The sequence below is a fragment of the Homo sapiens genome, chromosome 22 (genome assembly GCF_000001405.40).
Source record: "Homo sapiens chromosome 22, GRCh38.p14 Primary Assembly".
NCBI lineage: Eukaryota > Metazoa > Chordata > Mammalia > Primates > Hominidae > Homo > Homo sapiens.
In genome coordinates this window covers 44430098-44453558 of record NC_000022.11, presented here as the reverse complement: position 1 = coordinate 44453558, position 23461 = coordinate 44430098, and the positions used below count along the sequence as shown (strand labels likewise).

Sequence of the window (23461 nt, the reverse complement as noted above, 5' to 3'; positions counted from 1 at the left end):
TCTAAACGCCCCCTCCCCTAAATCTGGAATTGGAAATTGCAGACATGGGGTGGGAAGGTGGGGGCCCAATGAATAACTGATGGATGAATCAATGCCATTTTGAAACCTGCATTTCAACTTGACAATATATTTGCATCGATCAGGTTGATTTCAACGATGCTGCAGGAACAAACTGTCAAAGTCCCAGTGGCTTCAGTCAAACATGTGTTTCTGCCCAAGCAAAGTCCACGACAGGTGCAGGTGATTCCCCAGAGCCACAGTCTCCCAGGGATGGCTCAGCTGCCCCAGCTGACTGGAGCACCAACATCCCGGAGCAGCAAGTCGGGAGTGCGGGGCCACCCTGTCCGTTACAGTGGAAAGGGGTAGGCAGAGTGGTCCTTAATGCTTCTCCCTGGAGGTGACTCATCACTTCTGCAGACAGAGCAGGTCATAGGGTCACCCCTGATTTCAAAGGAGTGTGCACCTGGAGTGAGAGGAGAACCAGAAGTCCTGGTTCTTTCTTCCCCAGTGCTGGTGGGCTCTCTTCTCCAGCATCACCTAAAAACTTGTTTGTCTTGGGCTTGGCCTCTATCCTAGAACCTTCTGCTTCTCTGAGGCAGCCCCTCTGTCTGGTCTGTGTGGATGAGTGATTTCATAATATCTGATAAGCTCTTATCTGAGCCCTGATGAATTGGAATGGGGCAGACAAGGAAGAGTAGGTCCGGCTGTTCTGGGGCATAACAGTATCGGCCGTGGGCACTGCAGGGTGGACAGGGGCACCCTTCTCTCTGTGACTCCTTCAACCCAACCAGTGGTGGGAAGGACCATATATCCTGTGCCAGAGACTTGTTCCAGGTGCAAGTGTGCAGCAGGCACCAGGGAGCTGCCCCCGACCCACCCTCTCAACTCATTCACCTGGCAAATCGTGCCTTCTCAACCCAATTAAAGGCAGCTTCAGGGAGAGAGCTTGCAGCTGACAAATTTGTAGAAAGCAAACCGGACAACAACCGGAAAGCAAAATCTTTCCCATCACACAGACCCACATTGAGGCTCAGCCCCCAAGACCTCTCTTGACCCCCTGTACACCCCTACGGAGAGGCCTCTCCATTTTTCTTGATGAGGAAACAAAGCTCAGAGGAAAGTCACTTACAGAGCCAGAAGGAACAGAGCTAGGAGGCTGGAATAGGCCATTTGCATTGCTATAAAGGAATGTGAATACCCAAGACTGGGTGATTTCTGAAGAAAGGTTTATTTGGCTCACAGTCCTGTAGGCTGTACAAGCAGCATGGAGCCGGCATCTGCTTCTGGGGAGGCCTCAGGAAACTTACAATCATGGCGGAAGGCAAAGCAGGAGCCGGCGAATCACATGGAGAGAGTGAGCAATAGAGAGGGAGGTCCCACTCATTTAAACAACCAGACCTGTGTGAACTCAGAGCAAGAACTCACTCATTACTGCGAGGAAGGCACCAGGCCATTCACGAGAGGCCCACCCCTGTGCCCTACACACCTCCCACCAGGCCCCACCTCCAACACTGGGGATCACATTCCAACATGAGATTTGAAGGGGACACACATCAAAACCATATCAGAGGCCAACCCCCCAGCTTGACTCTGGGTCCTGAGTGCCCCCCACTCCCCTTGGCTTGGCTTCCTGCTTGGTGGAATGGAAGAATTGTAAGAGTTAAAGAAAGAGGAGGCCAGGCGTGGTGGCTCACGCCTGTAATCCCAGCACTTTGGGAGGCCAAGGCAGGTGGATCATGAGGTCAGGAGTTCAAGACCAGCCTGGCCAATATGGTGAAATGCCATCTTTACTAAAAATACAAAAAATTAGCTGGGTGTGGTGGCAGGTGCCTATAGTTCCAGCTATTCAGGAGGCTGAGGCAGAAGAATCACTTGAACCCGGGAGGTGGAGGTTGCAGTGAGCTGAGATCATGCCACTGCACTCTAGCATGGGCGACAGAGTGAGAAGCAAGCAAGCAAGAAAGAAAGAAGGAAAGAAAGAAGGAAAGAAGGAAAGAAGGAAGGAAGGAAAGAAGGAAGGAAGGAAGGAAGGGATGTCATTTTTGGTTTATGGTCATGCTGACCTTGGCCGTTAGGCTGATGCCCTTTGGATTTAGGCAGTTTTTGATCAAGGTGCTCGTCCAAGATGGCAATGCTCCTACTCTGTCAAGAATGACCTCCCCAGCCTGAATCTTGTGTGTGCCAGTTATGAGTCACCTATTGCTGTATAACAAATCACCCCTAAGCTTAAATCAATAGCATCCATGGTCTCGCTGTTTCTGGGGTCAGGCATCTGGGGGCTCAGAAGGGTTTCCTGGCTCAGGGTCTCCCACAGGTTGCCGGACTGTGGTGCACACAGAGCGCTTGGCAAACATGCCGTGAAGGCATGAACAAGCAGCCTGCAGGCTGGGGGCAGTAGGTGCAGAGGGTACAGGCGAGGCCTTTCAGGTGCACAGTGTCTGGCATAGATCAGACACAAAAATATATTGAATGAATGAATGAATGAACAATCAGGACAGATCTCCATTTTCATATTACTACTTCGTCCTGGGCAAGTTATTTCACCTCTTTGGGACTCAGTTTTCTCATCAGTAAAATGGGGATAATCATGCCTGTCTCATAAGAATCCATGTTTAAATAGCAAGTCTAGAAGAGTGTCCAGCATATAACAGGTACCCAGGATGTCTCTTTGGTTTAATCCACCCGAAGAGGTTGACTTCCTCCTTTTGATTCAGTGATTGGCTTGGCGGCGACTTTCCAGAATGGAATTCCTTATAAGGGGCCTTCCCAGATTGGAATTGCACGGCGATCTCGAAGCTTGCAGACATGGAGCGGTTGCCACCAGGGCATGGCTCCTGTCATCCCGCAGCCTGGGAAAGGCCACATAGAGGCTGTCTCTTTGGCCTGGTGGCAACTGTGACTCACCGTCACCATCCCGACCCCACCCTCAGAGCAGGTGGCCTTCCCTCCAGGACTTGGGAGGGGCCGCTGGACAGGATGGCATGGACAGTCCCAGCTAAGGCTGCTCAGACTGGACTCTGAGACCCTGCACACTGATCAACCTGTGGGTGAGCCTGGTGGATCCTGTCCCATCTAGTCTGTCGCTGGCTGAGCCGAGGCTTCACATGTGCCATGCCATGCCCTTCCTGAGCTTCAGTTTCCTGATGTGCGATGTGTGCAGGGGATGAAACAGACCAGGCAGTCCCCCTGGGACCTCATAGCTCTTGGTGACCATTCCACTCATGCTGGTGGCGGCCGGTTCCACGGTCCGGATGCTACCCCCAGTTTATGGGCTCTTTCCTGGTCTTTTTTGCTCTGTCTGCTGCCCTGGCTGGTGCATTCTGACTCTGTAGATGGCCGGGCTGAGGGTGACACCAGGCCCCAGTGTGCTGAGGCTATGAACACCCAGCCTTGCTTGCGTCCTGGGTTTGGGATGTAAAGGATTCCCAGTCTGCTAAAGCCACACCCTCCACAGCCACCCCAAAGCCGAGCCTTTGCTTTCAGGATTCCTGTAATCCTCATGCAGCATGGGCAGCCCTGGCACCTGTGCCCGCATGCTCAGGGAGGAGGGATGGCCCCACAGCACCGGGGGTTCTTCCAGATTCAACAATGGACGGACCCCACACAATGCCCTAAAAGGCAGGGTTATTGGTGGCAAGGACCTGACATTTCCTGGGCGCCTTCTCCAAGCCAGGCTCTGGGCCAGGCACTGGGCAGGGATGTGGGCCCATCCAGCCCTGCCTTGAGCACGGCCTGGTCCCTCAGGGGAGACAGACATGCAGAGAAAGAGCCTCCAGCGTGGGGGGGCTACATGCACCCATGTAGCAGATCTGTTCTGCAGGCGACCCTGGGGTTTCAAAGGAAGCATGGTTGATTCGGATCATGCTCCAGGAACCCTGAAAGGAGGGAGCATTTAATAGACAAAGATGCCGAAGCTCAGAGAATGAATCAGCAGTTCAGAGAATGAGTCAGGAATTTCCAAACTAAGCCAGTTTCACAGACACCCCAGGCCTGGGCAGCACGCACAGCAGGCATGTGATTTCCCCTTTTCCGGGTCTGCAGGTTGACTGTGGTTCCGCTGATCCCAACTGGCTTTGCCCGGGTGACTCAACCTCGGCCTGTGTGCGGTCGACAGGGACGGGTCTGGGTCAGCTCCTGGCCCAGGCTGCTCCAGCCGATCTCGGGGCCGATCACCGGAGTGCAAACCTCAAGGGCACTCTTAAGGCCTTTGGTCACATGGCATTCACTTGATTCCATTGGCCAAAGTAAGTGACTTACCAGGATGGACAGGGTGCGGAGTGCCCTCTAACCACGCGGGAAGGAGGTCCTGTACTTCATCACCCAGTGGTGGAGCAGGAATTTGAACCCAAGCCTGACTCAGAAGGCCTTGGCACCATCGGCCTCTCATCTGAGGTCATGTGCAAGGGCCCTGGCTCGGGGATCCATGGATGACTGCCCTTCTGCCCACCGTCTCTCAGAGGCATTGCTGACAGGTCAGGGGGCGGGTAGACTGGAGCAACAGAAAGCACGGGGCTGACCCTCAAACACAGTCGGTACTACGGGTCCCTGCGAGGCTCTGGCCTGACTTTGTATGGAGGCTGTCCCACGCCCCTGTGTGGCTTGGGTTCCTGACCTCTTTGAACCTCATTCTACACTTCTGTAGCGTGGGGATCACAGTCCTACTTAGGTTATTGGGCTGTGCTGAGAATTAAGTAGGATAACACGTGGCAGCCTTTTTGAAACAGCTTTTGCCATCCTGCAGGGCTTCATAACTCCCCAGCTGGGTCCAGCCTTGACATTTACATAGAACTGTCTTATCCATAAAATTGCACCTGGTTCCCACAACAGCCCTCTGGGGAGGTATTCCTTTCTCCATTATGCAAATAATGAGATTTCGGCTCAGAGAGTATGAATCATTAGCCAAAGACGTGGCTCTGGCAGCAACAGCCCCCAGGCCTGTCTTACCCCGAGAGGGGATGCCCCATCTCCACCCCAGCCAACAGAGCGGAGGGCACATGCGTGCAGAGGAGGGGCAACAGTGTCCTCTTCTTCAAGGAGTCCAGCTCAGTCTGCAGGGCCACACATCCACACGACTTGGACGCCCTCCATGTCCTGGGGAACGTGTGAGTCAGAATGCCTGGGAGACGAGAATGCAGGCCAGGGCTCCCTGGGAGTCCGGACGGCAGGGCTGTCTGCATGGGCGGTGAAGTACGGTGCCTGCAACCACTTTGTTCATTCATTTTTTTCATTCATTCAGATGTCCACGGAGCATGGCCCCTGTGCCTGGTCCAAAGCCAGGGTCTCAGGAGTTATATCAGACAGGGACCCTGTACCCGGCCAGCTATCGGAACCTTAGCACAAATGAGACCTCAGAGCACAGCGTCCTCACAAGTAGTCATCAGTCTCAACTCACCTTCCCACCAGTGATGGGGGGGCTCACTCCCTTGCAAACCAGCCCCTCCCAGGACTAGACACCTCTGCTGTGAAAACATTCTTTTCTTTTTCCTCCCCTCCCCTCCCCTCCCCTCCCCTCCCCTCCCCTTCCCTTCCCTTCCCTCTTTTTTTTCTTTTCTTTTTTTAAAAAAGTGTGGCTGGCCACGGTGGCTCATGCCTGTAATCCCAGCACTTTGGGAGGCCGAGGTGGGCAGATCACGAGGTCAGGAGATCGAGACCATCCTGGCTAACACAGTGAAACCCCGTCTCTACTAAAAATACAAAAACTTTAGCCAGGTGTGGTGGCGGGCACCTGTAGTCCCAGCTACTGGGGAGGCTGAGGCAGGAGAATGGCGTGAACCCGGGAGGTGGAGCTTGCAGTGAGCCGAGATTGCGCCACTGCACTCCAGCCTGGGCGACAGAGCGAGACTCCATCTCAAAAACAAAAAAAAGTTTCATTGTGTTTGTTTTACTGTTACAAACAGTGCTCCCAGAAACATCTGGGATGTGTCTCCTGGTGTACATGGGCAGGAGATTCTCTAAAAAATGTTGAAGGGGCCGGGCGCGGAGGCTCACGCCTGTAATCCCAGCACTTTGGGAGGCTGAGGCGGGTGGATCACAAGGTCAGGAGTTTGAGACCCGTCTGGCCAACATAGTGAAACCCCGTCTCTACTAAAAATACAAAAATTAGCCCTGTGTGGTGGTGTGCGCCTATAATCGCAGCTACTAGGGAGGCTGAGGCAGGAGAATTGTGTGAACCCAGGAGGCTGAGGTTGCAGTACTCCAGCCCGAGCGACAGTTCGAGACTCCATCTCAAAAGAAAACAAAAAAAAAAATGTTGAAGGGAACTAACTACGAGTGCTCATCTTCACATTTACTAGATAATGCCAAATTGTTTTCAAAGTAATCACACCAATTTACACAATGACCATTTTATTAATTTCTACAAATTCTATTTGATTCTATTTCAAATCTTCTTGGTTATTTTATTTTATTTATTTTTTAGAAACAGAGTCTTGCTCCATTGCCCAGGCTGGAGTATGTGGTGTGATCACGGCTCACTGCAGCCTCAAACTCCTGGGCTCAAGCAATCTTCCCACCTCAGCCTCCCAGGCAACTGGGACTACAGGCAAGCACCACTATGCCCTATTAATTTTGAAATTTTTTATGGAGATGAGGTCTTGACATGTGGTCCAGACTGGTCTTGAACTGCTAGCCTCAAGTGATCCTCCCGCCTCAGCTTTCCAAAGTGCTGGGATTACTGGCGTGAGCCACCATGCCTGGTCCATTTTTAGAATCTCTTGTTCCCAACTCATATTTTGAACTCTCCTCTTTTTTGTGTCTTTAATTGTAGTAAACAGACTTATTTTACATTCCTCATCTGATAATTCTGCTATCTGGGGACTCTGTGGATCTGATTCAGCTAGGTGAGGTTTGTGCTGGTTCTTACTCATGGTGCCCTGTTTCCTCGTGTGTTTAGTGACTCTCAGCTGTAAGATGCTCCTGTGGTTGGAATGTCACCTTAATTGCTCCAGGGGGATTTGCATTTGTTTGTGAGAAGTCTAGAGAAAGCCATTTTCATCTAAATTCTCAGCCTGAGGTTTTTGCACACAGAACTGGAAGTGTCAATTGTCCCTATGAACTTGTTTGAGGGCTGGCTTGTGGTCATAAATCTTCAGGGGTAATTTTCCCATGCCATTTATGAAAGTCTTGGTAATACACCAGGGCACAAACTAGACCCATTCCTTGCCATCCTAGGTTTCCAAGGCTCATTTCAGGTCACCATGGTTAGCTGGTGACAGACACAGAGGCTTTCATGAGCATCTGAATGATGGCAGTACGGCTTACCATTTATTGCATCTGAACCTTAGTGGGTGCTGGGCATATGATACTCACTTATTTGTCAGCACAATAATCCTATGAAGTAGGTATAAGTATTATCCTGTCCATTTTACAGATGAAGAAACTGAAGTTAAAAAGGGATATCTTTATCCTCAAGGATATCTTGCCCAAGATCCCCCAGCTGGCCGGCCTGCGTACATGGGCGCTCTTGGACTCTGGGCCTTCTGCACTGAGCTTTTGTGGGTTTGGTGTTTATTTCTGTTATTGTTATATTTTTCTGGCACCATCAGGGGCTTGAGTCCCCGCTGCGCGATCGTTTGCTGCAGTCCCCGGTTCAGACCGCACAAAGCCCCTCCCTGGCGGAGCATGCTTGTCCCTCACCGTGTCGATGAGTCGTGACTCATGCTACCTTTGCTCTGAATTTAGAGGCAGGGAAAGGCGAGGGAGGAGGAACACCTCGAGCAAAATGCCATTTCGTGTTGGCAGCCAGGCAAGGCAGCCTCTGTCTGCCCAACCGATAGACAGCGGTGGAGTTCTGGGTACAAGCTAAGGATAAAGTTAACATGGGCAGGGGGGAAAAATGCCCTCTTCCAGAACAGACAGCTGGGTCCCAGCAATTCATGCTCCCTGGCTTCCTCCACTGCATGCCATTTGCACGTCCTGGCTGGAGACACGCTTACTCCAGCCTCTCCTGGGGTCAAAGAGGGGGTCATCTGCCTGGCGCGCTGCCTGACACAGAGCAACATCAGGGGCTAATCAGGGGCCGGCAGGTCATTGGCCTAAAATTCTCCTGAGCAGCAGGGTTCCTGAGTGTCTCACCCTGTGCACCTGGAGCCAGTGTGACAAACGGGCCCCTCGGCTATGCCGCCCTCCCACCTCAGCCCACACAGCCTGCCGTCCCTCAGCCTCTGATTCCCGTGCCCGGGGCTGGGTGGTGCTGGGGACACAGAGGAGCCAGCCCCCTGCACTGCCTTTTGGGAGTTCCACAGTCTGGTGGGAACTCGGGCACAGACAGAGATAGTGCAGCTGTAGTGTGGGAGCTCCGTCTGGAAGAGGGCAAGGAGGGCTTCCTGGAGGGGGTGTCAAAGAATAGGTAGCATGAGTAGAAGGAGTAGATTCTCTCTCCCTCTGAACCTGGTTAATTCCTTCCTGACCTTCAGATCCCGGCTCAAACATCACCTCCTCCAGGAAGCCTTCCCTGATCTCACCCACCTGGAATTCACTGTAACAGATGGAAGGGCCCTGCCCCTCTTCTTCCAGGCCCCACTAGCCTGAGCTCCAGGAGGCAGGGACCACATGAGCTTCAGCCCCTGGAGACCCCCCTAGCATCCAGCAGGAGGCAGCATACCGATTATGGGTGCAGGCTCCGTCACTGCCTAACAGCATGGCAAGGAGCTTAGCCTCTCTGGGCCTCTGTTTCCTCTCCTGTAAGATGGGGTTACAAGAGGGCCACCCCCTAGGCCTATTGTGAGACTTCATGGGTAACAGAGGTTGAGGCTGGAGGATAAGGCAAGTGTCTGAAACACGTTAGCGATGTTTATTTACTAGACTAGTGCCTGGCTCAGAGCATGGGCTCTGTAGACACTGGTAGAATACATGCACGGTGCCTTGCTCACTTCATTTATTTATGATCTTCCTCCCTCCCTGGTCTGTGGGCCCTGCGAGAGCAGGGCCGGTGCATTCTCGGTGCCCAGCACAGCCGGCCTGTCATCAGTGCTGCGGGAGGGACAGGAGGGGTACCTGCAGTGAGGCACAGGCCACGCCCCCTGCACGCCGACTGGGTTAATCCTCTACGGCTCAGGGTCCTGCAGGTGACCAAGGTGGAGCTGGGATTTGAAGCCGAGCCTCTGACTCCCAAAGCCAGACGGGTCTAGGTTGTTCTGCTCATTCCAAGCCGGGCCACCGCCTGTATCAGGTTCTCCTGCAATGTTGACGTCAGAAGCCTCTTCATTTACTTGGGGGCCATTACATTAGCAGTGAGGATAACATTACTAAGGTGCACCAAGGGCGGGCCGTGTTCCCTTAGCCTGGCTTTGTTTAAGCCTCCCAGTAATCTGGGGAGAAAAAGTAGGAGAAGGACCGGAATCTTCCATGCAGTGGGCACCCGCCACCCACCAGTCTCCATGAAGATGCCCCATCACCCCCAGGATCTCATTGGAGGCTCACAAAGCGGTTTGTCTGACTACTACTGGAAGCCTGGAAGCACTCACAATACCAGGGCTTGGAAAGCAGCCGACAGAATCATGCATGTGCATGTACACACATGCATGTGTGTGAGTGTGTGTGCACACATGAGCACATATGTGCATGTGTCTGTGTGTGTGCATATGTGCGTGTATGTGCGCAGACACCACCAGCCTCCCTTTGCAGGGGTGCAGTACTGGAGGACCGAGAGGGGCCACACATGCATGCGGCTGGTGGGGGCTGAGCTGAGCATTTCTGTCACTTTCTCCTTCTGGTGACTGTTCCCCTCCCCAGAACAGGAGTCTGGCTCCAGGTACAGCTAGGCCCACCTTGCTTCTCACTGGGGACTGGGACTAGTCAGCCTTGGAGTAACATGACAGGCTCCAGGGTTCCAGTTCCTCGCCATCCTGGCCCCGCAGAGAGACTTCAACTCCAGGAGGATTCTGGACTTTTCTGACAACCCCGGAGACAGCACCTTCCTTCCACAGCCCCAAGAACAGAAAAAAAAAATAGCGCAGACAAAAAAAATAGTTCAGAGAGCCAGTTTCCCCAGCAGGATTCTAAAGGGAAGTTTCATGGCCACCACCGGGGAAGGGAGTTCCTTCCTCCAGGACTGGCCTGAGGCCCTTTCCCCTGCCCTCCCTGCTCCCACCACCTCCCTCTCACTCCCTGCCGCCCTCTGCCTCTTGTATCTCCTCAGCTACCCCTTTCCTTCCTACCCGCCCTTCCCCAGGAGTGGGTGACAGTCCTGGTGGCTGTGTCCTCTGGGCTTGCTGGGCCCACCTTCTCCTTGTGGTCCTGGTCCTGACCCTGCAGCCACCCAGGCAAAGGAGGCCGCCTCGCCCTGTCTGTCATCTAAGGGCCCTCTGGGTGGTCACGTCACCCTGTCACCTGCCTCCAGACCGAGGCCACACAGTGCAGGGTCATGTTTCAGTTCTCATCTCCCAGCGAAATTATCTCAATTTCTTGGAGCCTGCTCCAGAATTGCTTTTCTCTAAACCCTCATTACCGAGAACACAGTCTTAGATGCTATGTACTTCTCAGGCGTCCTCAAAGAAGCCCCTGAATTACATGCGAGCTGCCCCTGGCAGGTCCCCACTCAGGGCGGCCACTTTGCTGTCAACAGCAGAGCTGGCGAGAGGAGGTGCCTGGTGGCTCAGGGACCAGAACGTGCGGCTCTCAGATAAATTGAGTTTTGCAACTGAACTGTCTAATTCCTCGAGGAAATTGTCAAACCATGTCCACGGAAATCCTGGTAAATCTTAGAAGTGGCTGCTAGAGGCTAAAAGTCAGAGACACCAAAGGTTATTAGGAAAATTACTCCTCCTGGTGCTGGGGGTGTTGGGGAGAGGCACAGTTTGAAGCAAGGGCTGATGGCTGCGGAGGAGGCATGGCTGGGGGAGGGCAGGGGCTGGAGGCTGTGGCCTGTTCTGTGGGGCCATTGTGGCTGGCATTTCCCAGGGTGTGGCTCCCAGGCCTGTCCATCACACCTGCCCCCCCAGTGCTGCTGGTCCCATTTGCTCTCCCTCCTATGGTAATTCAGAACAAATAGAGCTGAACCCAGCAGGTTCCTCCCGATGCCAACCCTGCTGGCATATCATCTCTGCCACTCAGGAGGCAAGATCTCCAGGCATGTGGAGGTGCTGGGGCCTGGACCCCAGGGTGCAGAACTGACCGTTAACAAGAAAGAACCGCCAGGAGGGGACACCAAGGCATGAGGATCCGGGAGTCCCCAGGATGGGAGGAGGGAGGTGCTGGGCCCTGGGATGGAGAGAGACTGACCCCCCACCCACTCCCATCTCAGCAATGTCTACGCGCCCGCATCATGCTCAGGGGTCCCCAGACTAAGGAAGCCCCGCCCACACTCCTCGCATTGTGCCTCTGCCTCTCTCAGCCGGGCCTCTGGGAGTGTTGTCTACACTCCCCGTCCACCCTACCTCACCCATAGGGAAGGCTTCGCTTCCGTCACTCACTGAGGTGGCTATGGCCAAGGTTGAAGGCCACAGTGACTCCTGGACCCCTGGAGACCCATCTCATCCCCTTGTCCCCTCAGCAGTGTTTGCCCTCTTTGGCCCAGAGCCCCCACCACGCCCTCTGAGGGCCGTGGCCAGCTCTAAAGCCCTGAGAGGGTTGCAGAGTGCTGGGGTCTGGGGGGCCCCTGGCCATGTCCTTGAGGCTGCTCAGAGCCCCAGTCTCTGCCCCTGCACAGCGGGAAGCTGAGCTGGGGAGGCTGTGAGAGCAGATTTTCATGGAGAGGCACGAGGGAGGAAGATGGGGCGGCCCCCGCCCTGGCCCCAGGCTCATTCTCCTGGGGGCTCCCTCTGCAGCTCCCCAGGGCCTTGCACACTTGGCCTCAGGCCACTCAATGCAGCTGAGTCTCACAGGCCCCTCTGGGATGGTGGTGCTGGAAGTCAGGGTGCTGGGGCAGCAGGGAGGGGGCTCGGGGCCAGACAGCTGACTCTTGATGGGGGCCGCAAGGCCTCTGCCCCGATAGCACATGCCTGGCCTGGCCCTGGGCTCGTGGTGCACAGAGCCACCTGATGTGCCCTGGCCGCAGATGCAACCTCTGCCCTTGGGAGCGTCTGCTGACCTGACGCCAGACAGTTCCATCCCCAGGGCCTGTCACCAGGTGTGCAGGGCTCCAGGAGGGACAGAGGCCAGCTCGGGCTCCTGCAGTTCTCACCAGGACCACTCCCACACAGAGCACTGTCCTAGGAGTCCACTGTAAGCCCGCTCCCAGGCCCCTGGGACTTGGGCCTGCTCTCCTGGGCGACCCTTCCTCCTGCCCTTGAGGAGGGAGAGTCAGATGCAGGTTGGAAGAGGCTCTTACAGGGCTGTAAACATCCCTTTCCCATGTCCACAGTGGCGAGCAGGACCATGGAACGGGAGGGCCAGTGTCCAGCGTGTTTGAAGCGCAGAACCAGCTACGCACCATAGGGCCGGTCCCTGCCCTCTTGAAGCCCGAGCCAGAGTCTGCTGTGGGTGGTATGGAAACCAGGGCCCCCACCTTCATCCCCATTCTCCCCCGACAAAGCTGCGGCTAGAGGGACAGGGAGCGGATGGCAGAGAGGAAGGGAAGTCTAAGGACCACAGTGGCTTCAAATCTTGTCCTTAGGGCCCCAAGTCCCCCACAGAGGCCTCGGGGATCCTTACAGCCCAGTCTGTGCACAGGATGCTGGGAGGGGCTTTCTGGGACCACCCAGGGCTGCACTTGGGCCTTCTGGTTGTCTGCCACAGTGGCAGTGGGGGGACAGGAATGTGGGACTCTGGGGCCCTGAGGGCTGCTAAAGACTTGGGAGGGCAACCTCAGTCATGCACCAGGTGCAGGGAGGGTGGCCTTCCAGCCAGGTCAAAGCTGATTAAGCCAAGGCAAGTCTCTTCCCATGTCTTCCAGCAGCCTCTGGTGCTAAACCCACCCAGCTGCGTTCCTGAAAGCTTGTGGACTGAGTGGAATCTCCCATGCCTCCAGGCCTTGCCCGCCTTCCCCAGCACCATTGTTGGGAGATTTGTCTCAGCTGAGCCTCTGCGCCTACATTCCAGCCCAGAGAGGGATGGTGAACTCAGCAGGCCTGAGGGTGCTTTTCCGACCCTAGGAGAGGCGCGGAGAGGGGAACTTCCCAGGCGGCTCTGACCTCCGGATGCGTTTCTCCAGGTACATCTCATAGGACACTTGGGGAACATCGCCCCAGGCCCTGGGGTGTCTCTTCCTGTGAGACTGATGCATTCTGGCGGGTCAAGCTGAAAGGTCCTGTGTCTGCTGGGAGTGGCCTCCAGTGGGCCTCGGTCAGGAGAAATTGCTCTATCTGTGTGATTTCTCTCTCCACCCTGCCCAAAACCACATATGTCAGAGACCAGCTAGGCCGGACCTGGGTCTGATTGCTAGTGTGAGCGTCCCCACACTTTGTGGGAAAACCTTGGGGCACCCCAAGCCCCAGCCTCTTGCCTGGTCCCCAGAGAGATACATTCTAGATCTTCTCTTCAGGCACCCCTGGGTCCTGGCAGAAAGTTTGTTGAGAAGACAGCGCCGGGTTGTTTCTGCCAACATCTTGGTTCATCACCCCCACCCCACACGACCACTCACCTCCCTCCCCGCCCAGCCTCCCCTGTGGTGAGGGGCTTGGAGTAGGACAGGAGGCCAGACCTTGCTCCCAGGGGGTTCACATCCCCAAGAGAATCGATGCATCCTCTGAGCCCCTGCAGATCCAGGTGTGCTGGATCCTAGCGGAGACCACGAGAGGTGAGGGAGGCTGAGAGCTCCACTGCGGAGCTGAGACAGGCTTGGAAGGAGAAGCGGACCCAGCTGGTGCTGGCAGGGTAGGGGGTGAGGGAGGAAGGAGGGTCGTGGCCAGGGGTGTGGGGGGAGATCCTGGGCTCTGTGCAGGTGCACAGGGTGGGCATATGGCTGTGGCTCATGCGGGAAGAATCGTCTCTTGGGAAAGGCAAGGCCTGTCTGCCTTTCCCCACGTGGGCAGAGCCAGCCCCTGCCCTGCTTCACAACCTCACCCCTCGTTCCTCCCCTCACCGGAGCCTTCAGCCCTGCACCTCGGCTCTGTCCCACAAATCGCTGTCGAAACCCCTAGGGCCAGTATGGTCCTATCCCCTCCATCCTCACACGCACTCCAGGTCCCACAGCCAGTGGTCTCTAATAAACACTGGCCCTGAAGCCCAGCGTCTGGGTTCAAATCCTGGGCTCTGCCTCCTGTAGGCTCTGTGGCCCTGGGCAGGCTGAGGACTTCTCCAGCTAGCCTCGGTTTCCTCACCTGGAGAACTGGGGTGATGGCGTCGAATTGCCGTGTGGATTAAAGGAGGATGCTGAGGACCTAGAGTTGTGCCTGCCACAGAGAAGGTCTCCACGTGGGCTACCTTTGGCATCGCCATGACACAGATGGAGAAACTGAGGCACGGAGTGTTCTAGAGTTCACCCAACGTCACATAGTGAGTAAACAGCAGAGCTGGGGTCAGCACCCCACACTCTGGCTCTGGCATTCGTGTTCCATGCTCTGGCACGACCCAGCCTCTGACCCAGGTATCCTGTGGGCATTACAGTGACAAGGACTCTGTCAAAGTGGGCATCAGGCATCACCACGCATGAGATCCCTCACTCAGCCGGTGTCTCCCAAGCACCTCCTGCGTGCCGGCCCCGCGAGGGCATCAGACATGGAGCAGCCCACGTGACAGGCAGAGCCCCTGCCTCTTGGGAGTTCGAGTGTCCACGGGTGGAGGGGAAGGCGGGAAACAGAAGACAGGGAGCAGGTCACCAGGTGTACAGATGGGGGGTCATGAGGACCTCCCAGATAATAGGGATGATGAGGACAGTGAGGTGGGTGACGGGGCATGCTGAGGCCTCTCTGAGGAGGGGATGTTGTTGATGGAGCGTGGAGAGGCATTCCAGCTGCAAAGGCAGGGGCGGGGCCGGAGGGCGGCAGGACCAAGCAGGAGAGGCAGGGAGGCCCGGCCCAGCCTGGGCTCAGACTTCGGTCCCGGGAAGCTTAGCTGTGGTCACCCTGGTTTTGGTTCCTCCCTCACACCTGGCTGACCCTGATGTCCTCACCAAGCACCGTCTCCCTGGAGGTGGATCCTGCCCTGTCCTCCTGGAGCCCCATACATCTATGGGCAGCCTTCATGACTGTCTCCACCTGGAGAAATGGGCAGTGCCAGTGTGTAGACATGGGTGACATTGCATGGTCCACCCCGACCAGCCTCTCAACCCTGGTCTCCTGATGTGGGTGGGGAGGGGACATTGGCTGCGGCCTCAGGGATGGCATTCTGAGCTGAGGGGCCAGTTTTCCACGGCTCAGGCTCACGGCCAGCCATCTGTCCCCAGGCCCTTCACAGGGGAGTCTCTCCTGTTCCCCATGCAGCCCCTCCTGTCCCCCTGACCCTTGTTCTTGCTCCTTGGCGCCCCCCAGCCCCAGGACCTGGCCGAGGCACTTAGAGCCAGGCCTTCACTGCACGGCCCTCTGGCTGCAGGACGGGCGAATTGCCATCTGCGACCCGCTCTGTGCCTTGTCACTTCCAGTTTAGCAAGGCCCCAGGTGAGGGGCTGCCCGCCGCCTGCCCGTGTGCCAAGCTTCCTTTCCTTTCCTCCCAAGGCTGGTCAGGCCTTGGGAGCATGGCTCCTTCCTCTGCTGCTGTCCTGAGAGGCCAGGCACTGGGCAGACATACCGGGCGCTGGGCCGTGGCTGTGCCTCTCCCACGCCATGTGACCCCAGCCAGGGACCCACCTCCCTGAGCCTCTGCCCTCTCTGCTGCAAAATGGGCCAATAGCCCAGCTCTCAGATTGCTCAGAGGTGTTCCTCCCTTCCAGATTCTCCTGACTCATCAAGCACTGCCTGGGTAACCTCGCAGAGGCCCTGCCCAGGCACTCCAGGAGGGTGGAAGGCCTGCTGGGGAGGCCTTGGTGTACCCTGGTCCCCGAGAAGCTCACAGCCCCATCCCTGACTCAGAGGCTGAGCTTTCTCCCTGGCCAGACGGGGATCTACTGAACAATCCGGGGCTGCCCAAAGGCCTGGCCAAGGACTAGAAACTTCAGGAAGTAAAGCGGGAACCCCTGAGCCCAGGGCCCACACGCCCGCCCTTGAATACCAGCTCTGACACTGACTGCCAGAGACAGCGGCCGCACACATGTGTGGGTGGGGGGTGGTCCAGTCCTGCGGTGATCCTACTCCTGCTCCCACAAGCCCCGGCTGCCCCTGGTGGGGATGAGGGCAAGAACGTGACTCAGCAAAGCCAGGCCTGCCGGAGACCACCGTGCCCACTTCTCCTCCCTTCTTGGTGAGCGCCCCTGGCAGAGGTGGTGGGGGTTGAATAAAACCTTCGGCTGACTATCCACCATGTGACCCGGTGCTGCTCAGTAAGTATCCATTATATGCCCAGCACTGGGCTGAATGCTCAGGCCCCCAGCCCTGCCAGTGCATGCAGGAGGTACTATAGCCACAGACATTTATTAAGCACTTGCTATGTGCCGCCCCTGCTCAGTCAGAGCCCTCCAGTGCCTCTCACAACAAGCCTGGAGCAAAGCTTCTGTTCTTATCCCCGGGTCACAGGGCAGGACCAGGTCTGCCGTGACTACCACGCACACTCCTGTAGCCTCCAGCATGCTCTCCAGTTTGCAGAGTCATGTAACAATGGAGCAGCATCTTCTCCTTGTCATGAACAAGATGGGATAGAGCGTCATTCATCCAGAAACAGGAAGGAAATCCCTCCACGTGCCACAGCAGGGACGGCCCTAGAGGACATTATGCAGTGTGAAATGAACCAGTCACAACAGACAAGCACTGTCCCTCCTATGAGGTCACCAGAGGAATCAAATTCATAGAGACAGAAGTAGAATGGTGGCTGCTCGGGGGTGGGGCGGGGGAATGGAGAGTTAATGCACAATGAAGACAGAGTTTCAGTTTGGGAAGGTGAAAAAATTTTGGAGATAGGCCAGGTGTGGTGGCTCACGCCTGTAATCCCAGCACGGTGAGAGGCTGAGGCGTGCAGATACCTGAGGTCAGGAGGTCAAGACCAACCTGGCCAACATGGTGAAATCCTGTCTCTTCTAAAAATACAAAAATTAGCTGGATGTGGTGATGCGTGCCTATAGTCCCAGCTCTTCGGGAGGCTGAGGCAGGAGAATTGCAGTGAGCCGAGATCGCGCCACTGCACTCTAGCCTGGATGACAGAGTGAGACTCCATCTAAAAAAAAAAGCAAAAAGTTCTGGAGATAAATGGTGATGATAGTTGCACAACAATGCAATATACATGAAGTCTATATGTAATGCTGCCGAAGTGTACTCTTATACACAGTTAAAATAGTAAATTTTTATGTTCTGTATGTTATACCACAATTCAAATAAATTTTAAAAAATGGCACCAGATTGATCAGGGGACAGGAGGGACAAGGACATTTCTTGAGGCCCTACTAAGTGCCAGGCTCTGGGGAGGTCAGGGGGTTGCCACAGCCTGACAAGGGGCAAACAGGAAACAGGTATCATGGCACAGACAGTGGCGAGGACCACATTCAATGTATTGTAGGTCTGGGAAGCTTCCAGTTGGCTTTTCCATTTATCTGAGAGAATCTGAGCAGATATTCACTAGGTTAGTGATTCAAGCTTAAAGCAAAAATGTCCAGCGACTTCTCTCTTAAGCAATTTAGTGGAGGAGTCAGAGACCGCAAGGTAGGTTATTTTATAAATGATCACGTTTAAAGACTTACCCCCGGGAATCCAGACGTACTTGATTCTCTTCATCCGAAGCAGAAAATGGCAAGAAATGGGATGCTGAGGCTACATAAATCCGGAGCCGCACCAGGCACCTTGCTTTATGTTCCCGTGCTCCTCCAAAAACCTCAGCGTCCTTGCCAAACGCCGATTCTAAGAGAGTGTTATCAATTTGAAATTCTAAGATGAGTTTATGCAAAGAAAATATTGCTTTTACCAGTTTTTGTTAAAGCACCATGTGTAATTACATTTAAAATGGAGGCTCCATCATGGGGAAGAAAAATTACCAAGCAAAGTTTGACCAGGTCTGGTTTAGTCCAACCCGGACAGGAGACCGTAGCCTTGGTGGGGACGAGACTCACCTGGGGTCCTTCAGAAGTTAGGACAAGACCTGCCACAGTGTCTCCCATTAGGATGGAGTCTAGATGACCCCATCTTTCTCTGCAGAACATATTATTATACACTCATTATCTGGGAATTTTCTAGATCTTTCATGAATCTGGTTATATTTTGAGCCCATCCCATTTCTGGGAAAGATGAGTCCTTTATGTTTACTTCCTGCTGAACTAAGAAATGCATCCTTATTTTCTGTTTCTAATTATCTGAGAGATATTGGGGAAAAACAAACAGGTGTTTTTTCTTATTCTCTCACTAAACAATCAACACAGAAGACTTCTGTGACCTCAGATGTGTGGAAGATTTTTCCCACACACCAACCAAACAAGTCTGCTCCAGTGGCCACGAGCTGAGTGTCCTCTAATTTAATTCAATTCTAGCATTATCTACCTGGAGATAGTGCCAGATCCCACAGGTTAAGGGCTCAGTCCTACAAGACTGCCTCCCACTTCTGATGCCAATCAAGCCCCAGGTTGTGACCTGTGTTTCTGACTGACCAGCTATCATTTGGGGTTTCCACAACTCCCTCTTTGGGTTCGATTAATTTGCTAGAGCTGCTCACAGAACTCAAGAAAATAATTATGTATACCCATTTATCATAAAGGATATTACAATGGATACAGATGAACAGCCAGATGAAAGAAACAAATAGGGTGAGGTATGGGAGAAGGGGTGCAGAGCTTCTAGGCATGCCACCCTCCAGGAACCTCCTTGTGTTCAGCTATCTGGAAGCTCCCCAAACCCAGTCCTGTTGGGTTTTCACTACATAGGCATGATTGATCACATCGTTGGCCATTGGTAATCAACTCAACCTTCAGTCCCTCTCCCCTGTGGAAGTAGCTTGGGGCAGCACTGAATGTCCCAGCTCTCAGATCTTGCCTTGGTCTTTCTGATGACCTACCCCATCCTCGGGGTCCCCAGCCATCAGTCACTCATTAGCATACTAAAGACGCTGTTAACCACTCTGAAGATTCCAAGGGTTTAGGGGCTATATGTCAGGAAACAGGGATGAAGACCAAATATCTATTTCTCAATATCACAAGGCGACTCCTTCTCACTGCTCTCCCCATCATCCAAGAACCAGATGACAAGGACAGGAAAATAAAGAAAGCTCCATAGCCACAAAAGCAAGGGTATGTCCTGCTTCTGCCTAGTGGGCAGATTTTAGGTAGAGTAGAGGGGAGGGCATCCACCTATTTCCTGAAGCTGTCAGGGGCCAAAAGCATGGCCTCATAGCTGGGCCTGTCATTCCAACCATCCTTAGAAGAGGAATGGAAGAGGCAGGAGGCAGGAGAAGGAGAAGGCCACATTCACAGAAGCAGAGACCAGAGTGATGAGCTTTGGAGATGGAGGAAGGGGCCATGGGCCAAGTGTAGTGGTTTCGTGGGGCTCCTGTAATGAAGTGTTCCCAACTGGGGGACTTAAAACCACAAAATTCATTATCTCGCCTATCTGAAGCCAGAAGTCCAAAATCAAGGCATTAATAAGGCTATGACCCTTCTCGAAGCTCTAGGGAGGATCCTTCCCTGCCTCTTCCAGTTTCTGGTGGCCCAGGGCATTCCGTGGCTTGTGGCCACATCACTCCAGTCTCTACTTTGCCCTCACATGGTCTTCCTCCTTCTTGTGTCTCTCTCTAAATTTCCCTTTTCTTATGAGGTCGCTAGTCTTTGGATTAGAGACCACCCTATGTCAATATGACCTCATTTTGACTTGATCACTTGATTAACTTGCAAAGACCCTATTTCCAAATAATGTCACATTTTCAGGTTCCTGGCTGTTCATAAAATTCATGGGAGGCTAGAGCCAGGCAAGGTGGTTTACACCTGTAATCCTAGCACTTTGGAAGGTCGAGGCGGGTGGATCACTTGAGGCTAGGAGTTCGAGACCAGCCTGGCTAACATGGCGAAACCCCATCTCTACTAAAGATACAAAAATTAGCTGGGCGTGGTGGCGGACACCTGTAATCCCAGCTACTTGGGAGGCTAAGGCAGGAGAATCGCTTGAACCGAAGAGGCGGAGGTTGCAGTGAGCCGAGATTTCACCATTGCTCTCCAGCCTGGGCAACAGAGTGAGACTCTGTCTCAAAAAAAAAAAAAAAAAAAAAAATTCACGGGAGGTTATTGTTTCACACTCAGCTGCACTAAGCCCCAGCAGACCAGAATGGAGTCACTCGTGCTAAGTGCTATATAGTCAAACGAAACTTTGAAAAGCACCTGTTTTCCAAGAAAACAAGAGATTCAACTGCAACAAACCAGAAGACACCCGGTTACCTGAGCCTGCATGATGAGAAAGTTCCTTCTGTTTCAGCCCTATAAAGTAACTTTGAAATGACCAGTCTGCTTTTCATTCCTTCAGCCCTTTTCTGCCTGTAAAGCCCACCCCATCTGCTCAGCTCCGTGCAACACCCACTCTGTTTTAGAGAATAAGATGTAGCCTGATTCTAGAATTGCAAATAAAAGCCAATTAGATGTTTTAAACTACGTTTATTGTGATTTTGTTTTTTCTTTTTAACAAGGTAGACCTGAATTGAGGAAGGGGTGCTATTCAAACCCAGTACACCAAGGAACGCAGGCGGCCTTTCAAAGGTGAAAAAGGCAACATAAACAGAATACATATGTAAAAAATGAAAAAAAAAAAAAGAAATGAAAGTTGAAAAAGGCAAGGAAATGGATTTTCTCCTGGAGCCTCCAGAAGGAAGCAGTCCTGCTAACACCTTGACCTTAGCTCCAGGAAACTAATTTTGGACTTTAACCTCCAGAACAGGAAGAGAATACATTCCAGTTACTTTAAGCCATGCAGTTTGTGATAGTGTCAGTTTGTGATAAAAAACAGCAGGGATACAAACCTGACACCAGGTGTGAAGACTTTTTTTCTTTCTTTCTTTTCTTTTCTTTTTATTTTTTTTTTTTTGAGACAGAGTCTCGCTCTGTCGCCAAGCTGGAGGGCAGGGGCACAATCTCGGCTGACTGCAACCTCCGCCTCCCGGGTTCAAGTGATTCTCGTGCCTCAGCCTCCAGAGTAGCTGGGACTACAGGTGCCCGCCACCATGCCCGGCTAATTTTTTGAATTTTTAGAGAGACGGGGTTTCACCATGTTAGCCAGGATGATCTCAGTCTCCTGACCTTTTGATTCACCCGCCTCGGCCTCCCAAAGTGCTGGGATTACAGGCGTGAGCCACCACGCCCGGCCAGGTGTGAAGATTTTAATGCTCCTGAAACCCGTGTTGAGTCGTGCTCTGAAAGATGGTACTTATCTGCACCCTCTCCAGCCATCGTCAACCTGGTTAGTTTCGCTGCCTGTTTGTGAGTCCTGCCTACTGTCCCGTTAGAAAAAACCTTTCTCATCCTGGAGGCACAAGTGGCCTCTGGTTGTCATTTTCATTTCCCTGATGAGGAAAGAGGATGGATTTTTGTATTTCTTCTGCTGGTCACACCCTGTTTCCCAAACTCAGCCCACGCAACCCCTGGGGCCCAGAACCCTCTCTTTCCCCTTTTACTGCACACAGGGAGTCTGGGTCCTTATATGGGAAGAGGGCTGTGCAGGTGCTGGGTGAGGGCAGGATTGGCCTCTGCTTGGGAAACAAAGTCCCCACCCCCTCCCCACTCTTTACCTCCTGGTGTCAGCTAAGTCCCTTCCTCTGGGGGCTTTTTTTTTTTTTTTTTTTTGAGACGGAGTCTTGCTCTTTCACCCAGCCTGGAGTGAAGTGGCATCATCTCAGCTCACTGCAACCTCTGCCCCCCTGGTTCAAGTGATTCTCCTGCCTCAGTCTCCCGAGTAGCTGGGATTACAGATGCCTGCATAAATACAAATTTTGTAATTTTTTTTTTTTTAGTAGAGATGGGGTTTTGCCATGTTGGCCAGGCTGGTCTCGAACTCCTGACCTCAGGTGATTCACATGCCTCAGCCTCCCAAACTGTTAGAATTAGAGGTGTGAGCCACCATGCTGGGGGCCTTCTCTAATGCACACCCTCATCTCAGAGGCCACCCCCTCACCCCCAAGCTCCATCACATGTGGCTTCCCTGCAGCTTCACTGGGGAGGGGAGTGTATTTGTCAGGTTCCCATCTCACCCCATGGTCCCCTGTGGAAGTTCCATGAGTCCCCAGCGGGAGCCACAGTGGGAAGAGAGGACCCTGTCACTCACCAACCCTGTCACTCACCAACCCAACCACTCCCTCCAACCAGGCTCACACCAGCGTCATGCAGGCTTGAACCCAAGCTCGAAGATTTTCAAATGAGAAAAGTGTTTATTCAAATTTCCTAATTGTGAATGTACTGTGGTCTGCACAGATAGAGTCTGTTGAAGAGATTTGAAACCTTGGTTTTTCACATTTCCCTGGTTCTGGGGTGGCAGGATGGAATTCTTAGATGTTTCCCTAATTCAACAGGGAGACTTCTCCCGCAATGAGCAATTCTCCTTCCTGCTCTAGGAACCAGCAGAAGCTTAGGAGCTCCTGGACCAGTCCCCAGGAGGTTACAGGGACACTGGGCTGACAAGGCCACCTCCTGGGCCACTAGGATGTGGCAGGCAGCCTGGGACCTGGGGCAGGTAGCTCCCCATTTGCTGTGGGTGGCACGGACAGTCAGTTCCCCATGCACCAAAGGCCTTTCACTTGCTACATTTCACCCGAAGGTCGAATGGTCCCAGGCAAGGAACTTGGGACCCGACTTTGAACAGTCTGTGAATAAGAAGATGTAGATACTCAGGGTGGGAGAGGACACGTGGTGTCAGCGGTCTGGCACAAGTAGGCTGAGGATGGAGAATCCCTGGCCCGGAGAGGAGGGCCCTTTTGATTTTAGCCCTCCTGGTGGGCTGGTAGGAGCACATCTGGCTTTCCCCCCCTTATGAATGTCAGAGTTGAACACTAGCATGGGCCTCTTAGATCAGCCCTTCTGTGAGAGGCATGGTTCAAGCCCTTCGGCTGTTTTTCACTGGCTGTTTCTCTTTTTCTCATGGACTCAATCAATACATCTTTTTGAGCGGCCACTCCCTGGCATGGAGCCGGCCTTCGGGAAGCTGGGAGTCTTCTGAGGAAGACACTTTCATCCTCCATGGGCAGCGGGACCCTGGCTTAGGGCTCAGGAGTGGAGGCCAGGTGGCTGAAGCTCGACTGGCTGCAGGGACCAGGAGAGGGTGTTGCAGAGGCCACTGCAGTCCGAGCAAGCAAGGGCCTGTGAGCCTGGGCAGGGAGTGGGACTCACCCTACCCCACACCCTGCTCCCCACCCACCCAGTCATAAATGTGTTGGAGGGGGAAGGAGCCATCCAAGATGATGCTGTGACTTCCGCTACAAAAATCAGGCGGGCATGGTGGCACACCCCTGTAGTCCCAGCTTCTTGGGAGGCTGAAGCACGAGAATCACTTGAACCCTGGTGGCAGTGAGCCGAGATCACACCACTGCGCTCGAGCCTGGGTGGACAGAG

At 53.8% G+C, this 23461-nt stretch overlaps 1 long non-coding RNA gene across 1 annotated transcript, besides 5 other annotated features; it reads right to left on the bottom strand.

The window, feature by feature from the left end:
- Positions 3513 to 4712: an enhancer, noted in NCBI's record as "MED14-independent group 3 enhancer chr22:44844727-44845926 (GRCh37/hg19 assembly coordinates)". NCBI's record gives its function as "activates an origin of replication core promoter dependent on BRD2, BRD4, P300/CBP and CDK7 cofactors, and independent of MED14, by STARR-seq in HCT116 cells {active_cell/tissue: HCT116}" and the evidence as "EXISTENCE:reporter gene assay evidence [ECO:0000049][PMID:35650434]".
- Positions 3905 to 4044: an enhancer, noted in NCBI's record as "active region_19210". NCBI's record gives its function as "activates an Ori minimal core promoter by ATAC-STARR-seq in GM12878 lymphoblastoid cells {active_cell/tissue: GM12878}" and the evidence as "EXISTENCE:reporter gene assay evidence [ECO:0000049][PMID:35858748]".
- Positions 4892 to 5555: an enhancer, noted in NCBI's record as "H3K4me1 hESC enhancer chr22:44843884-44844547 (GRCh37/hg19 assembly coordinates)". NCBI's record gives its function as "activates a minimal SCP1, AML or CMV promoter by ChIP-STARR-seq in naive H9 embryonic stem cells {active_cell/tissue: H9 hESC(naive)}" and the evidence as "EXISTENCE:reporter gene assay evidence [ECO:0000049][PMID:30033119]".
- Positions 8173 to 8902: an enhancer, noted in NCBI's record as "H3K4me1 hESC enhancer chr22:44840537-44841266 (GRCh37/hg19 assembly coordinates)". NCBI's record gives its function as "activates a minimal SCP1, AML or CMV promoter by ChIP-STARR-seq in primed H9 embryonic stem cells {active_cell/tissue: H9 hESC(primed)}" and the evidence as "EXISTENCE:reporter gene assay evidence [ECO:0000049][PMID:30033119]".
- Positions 8771 to 10232, bottom strand: LINC01656 (long intergenic non-protein coding RNA 1656). Its single transcript, NR_109966.1, has 3 exons — positions 10158 to 10232; positions 9768 to 9917; positions 8771 to 9175 (listed from the first exon to the last, which is right to left on the bottom strand). It is a non-coding gene; the product is annotated as a long intergenic non-protein coding RNA 1656 (long non-coding RNA).
- Positions 8903 to 9632: an enhancer, noted in NCBI's record as "H3K4me1 hESC enhancer chr22:44839807-44840536 (GRCh37/hg19 assembly coordinates)". NCBI's record gives its function as "activates a minimal SCP1, AML or CMV promoter by ChIP-STARR-seq in naive and primed H9 embryonic stem cells {active_cell/tissue: H9 hESC(naive and primed)}" and the evidence as "EXISTENCE:reporter gene assay evidence [ECO:0000049][PMID:30033119]".
- Positions 10233 to 23461: the final 13229 nt, after the last annotated feature.